Below are 3,331 nucleotides of genomic sequence, written 5' to 3'. Positions count from 1 at the left end.
AGACCCACTCATGCATTCAAAGTCAACTTACATAGGAGGATGTGTACATTTTAGCAATGCATGTTCCACCCAGGTTCCTCTGCCTTATGGTCTCAAAAAAGAGTACCATGATGTTATTGGCCTCCATGCTCCTTCCTGGCACACAGAGACAACCAAAACTTAGAGAGAGCAAAGGCTTTACCTGTGGCTGCCTAGATCAGGTGAAGCACAGAAAATGAAATTAAAAGTGAGTCTTACTTGGATGCCGCAATCCCACAATCCTCACGCGCGTGTGTGTGTGTGTGTGTGTGTGTATGTGTGTGTGTTTGGTCATTTTCCACAGCCTGTTTAGAAATAAACATATTTAAATAAATTATGATACCTATAAATTATAGTACCAATTTTGTAGGTATTCACAGAAATTTTAGCATGGAAAAATGTTCCTGGGGCAAAAAAAGCAGTTTACAAAACAGTAGATATTTCAAATATCATTCCTTTTAAATATATGCATATATAATGTTAAAAAGTATTAAAAGTGGTTATTTCTAGGTGGTAAAGATAATGGATGATTTTATATCACCTTCTTTAACTTAGCGTTATCGAAAAATATAATGAAATCTATCATTTTAGTATTAAAGGAAAAAGCTTTAGAAGTTTTTGCTTTTTTTTATTTTACAGTGGGAGCTACTTGAGATTGCAGACTATGTTATTTATCTTTGTGTTTCTAGCCCCTAGCATAACTCCTCTGGACATATTAAGCTCTTAATAAATGTTTTTGAATAAACACATGCATTTCAGAAGTTTTAAAACTAATATAGATATTCTCTGGGAATATGCAGATGGTACTACTTCATTTGCATTATTATAAACAGCAACAAAGAAGTCCCCCAAACCTGGCCTCTACTTCTCCTTAGAGACCAAATCCACCCCCCTACCCTCATAATGCAGTTAACTATTATACCACAAGGGACCAGGAGGTAAAGATCGCCAATGGTAGGGTTGTTGGTTAAGTATGGTGAAATTTACAGGTAATTTAATATTTCTTGTTTTAGTCTATCGTTTCAACTGTCTTTCCCAATATGACTTTTGAAATGGGTACTAGTAAGGATGAAAACTAATGGAGTTATCATTACACTTCTTGCTTTATTTCACCACTATAGGAGTTGGTAATGAGCATTTAATTTATTTTGAGTTTTATAGATTGGAGGAGGAGGAAAAATAAGGAGCCAATTAAGTGACCCTTGTAGTACTGGGGAATTACTATAAGTAAATCTTTGCTGCTTTTTACTTCACCCAAAATAAACTGTTACTCACCACAGGTGAGTGAGTAAGAGATTTTTTTCCGAAGAATACTAAGCAGGAACATGTCATGGTATGTTTATGTTATTATTTCAGCATTGCACCTTAATGCTTACATTATTTTTAAGGATAATGGGGGCAAGTATAATTTGAATTTTCTTTTACAGAGGGGAATATTGAAGTACAGAAAGAGGCTAAAGAAATTTTACAGGATGATTTGTAAAGTCAGTGACCCATCAAATAATATATATCAACATTTCTGATTGATCTCCCTCTGTAAATTTAGCCAGGACTCTTCTACTTCCTACTCACCAGTATCTTGATCCCTAAGAAAATAAAATTACAAATAACTAAATTAGAGCATTGTAGGGTTTTCTTTTTTCTATGAATCTAATTTTTTTTTTTTGAGACAGGGTCTCACTCTGTTGCCCGGGCTAGAGCGCGGTGGCATGGTTACAGCTCACTGCAGCCTCAACCTGCTAGGCTCAAGTGATCCTCCCATCTCAGCCTCCTGAGTAGATGGGACTACAGGTGTACGCCACCACACCCAGTGAATTTTGTTATTTTTTATAGAAACAGGGTTTTGCCATGTTGTCCGGGCTGGTCTCGAACTCCTGGGCTCAAGCAATCCACCCTCTTCGGCCTCCCAAAGTTCTGGGATTACAGGCATAAACCAATGTGCCTGGCCCTGTTTCTTTACTTCCTGCAGGTTTTTTAACTCATGTGATTCTAATATTTTATGATGATTAGATCAGTATCCCTTTTTTAACCTACTATTTGCACAAGAAATATGTCAAGACCCAAGAGAGTACTTTCAATTACAGAATCTTCTGGCCTCATCTGAGTAACAAAGCTCTCCACCAAGGTCATGATGCCAGCAAGACTTCACTGGTATATGTCAGCTTGTTCAGTTTCCCCTATAATTGTGGCCTCAGCCTCAGTCTCTCAGATGCCACATCTTCCTGCATTTACCTTCCTGAAAAATGGAGAGGCTGACACGTGCTGAAAACTGTGCCAAGCCCTGGCTGAAAGTTAGGGGTGAGTAGAGGCAGTCCAGCTATGCTGTTCCTTTCCTGTGCCCAGAGGAGTGTTTTAATTTCCCTTTCGTTCGATAACACACGTCCCTTTCTCCACTTTCTACCAAGTCCTCTCTTGGAAGTCACCCTGGCTTGGTACATTCCATGTCTGAAATCTGAGCTCCACCCAAGCAAATCAGTAGTCAGCCTCTGCACCTCCTTCCTCTCTCCGCTTGCCCTTGGTCTCCTTCATTTCTCTCTTGATTACTGCAGTCCATTTTTTCTTTTACAAAGTCAAACTTCAGCTCCCTTCTCCACCAGCAACTGTATACGCAAATTAAGATGAGGTTGTTCCATTCTCTTTTAGGAGTATCTATCACTGACTGCTATTCCCAGAAAAATACATTTGGGAAGTATTATTTTAGATTATATTAGTTTGTACACCATCTTTTAACTTTCTTTTTCTGATGTCAAAAGTAAACATTTTTTGACAACATTTGAGAAAACAGGGAAGAAAATAGAAATCAGTCTCCTCACCCAGAGTTCTTGTTAATATCCACATCTATTTCTTTCAAGACCTTAATCTATGCATGTATGATTATATAAAAATATATATATATATATATTTGCTGAAGAAGGATAATTTTGGATACACATTTTCCTGTATCTCTTTTTATTTAGCGTGGTGTTGTAACATATTCCCACATAATTAAATAGTCTTTTAAACACATTATTTTTTAAGTCTGCCTTTGAATTGCTTTCAGATGTTTCCCCTCATTTATTAACTGGGAAAAAAAAATCAACCCCATAATTATGGTCATTCCTAAGGTTTGAAAAATCTAACCCTACACTTGAATTTTTGAATCAGCAAAATTAAACTTAAAAAACACACATATGGGAAAAGCTAATATTGCTGTAGATTTTAAGGTAAACCAAAAGTTCATGTATTGAATTTAATTTAATGGAGAGCAGTGGTGCTATCCATCATGAATACCAAAATGCGGCTAAAAATAACGACTGTGGTTGAGTAAGACTGC

At 36.9% G+C, this 3,331-nt stretch overlaps 1 annotated feature.

The window, feature by feature from the left end:
- Window positions 2,225–2,425: a silencer, noted in NCBI's record as "peak787 fragment used in MPRA reporter construct". NCBI's record gives its function as "represses an SCP1 promoter by STARR-seq MPRAs in K562 erythroleukemia cells {active_cell/tissue: K562}" and the evidence as "EXISTENCE:reporter gene assay evidence [ECO:0000049][PMID:32103011]".

Source organism: Homo sapiens, chromosome 1 (genome assembly GCF_000001405.40).
Source record: "Homo sapiens chromosome 1, GRCh38.p14 Primary Assembly".
Classification (NCBI taxonomy): domain Eukaryota; kingdom Metazoa; phylum Chordata; class Mammalia; order Primates; family Hominidae; genus Homo; species Homo sapiens.
Note: the sequence above shows the minus strand (reverse complement) of the source record. Positions and strands in the feature narration are given on the sequence as shown.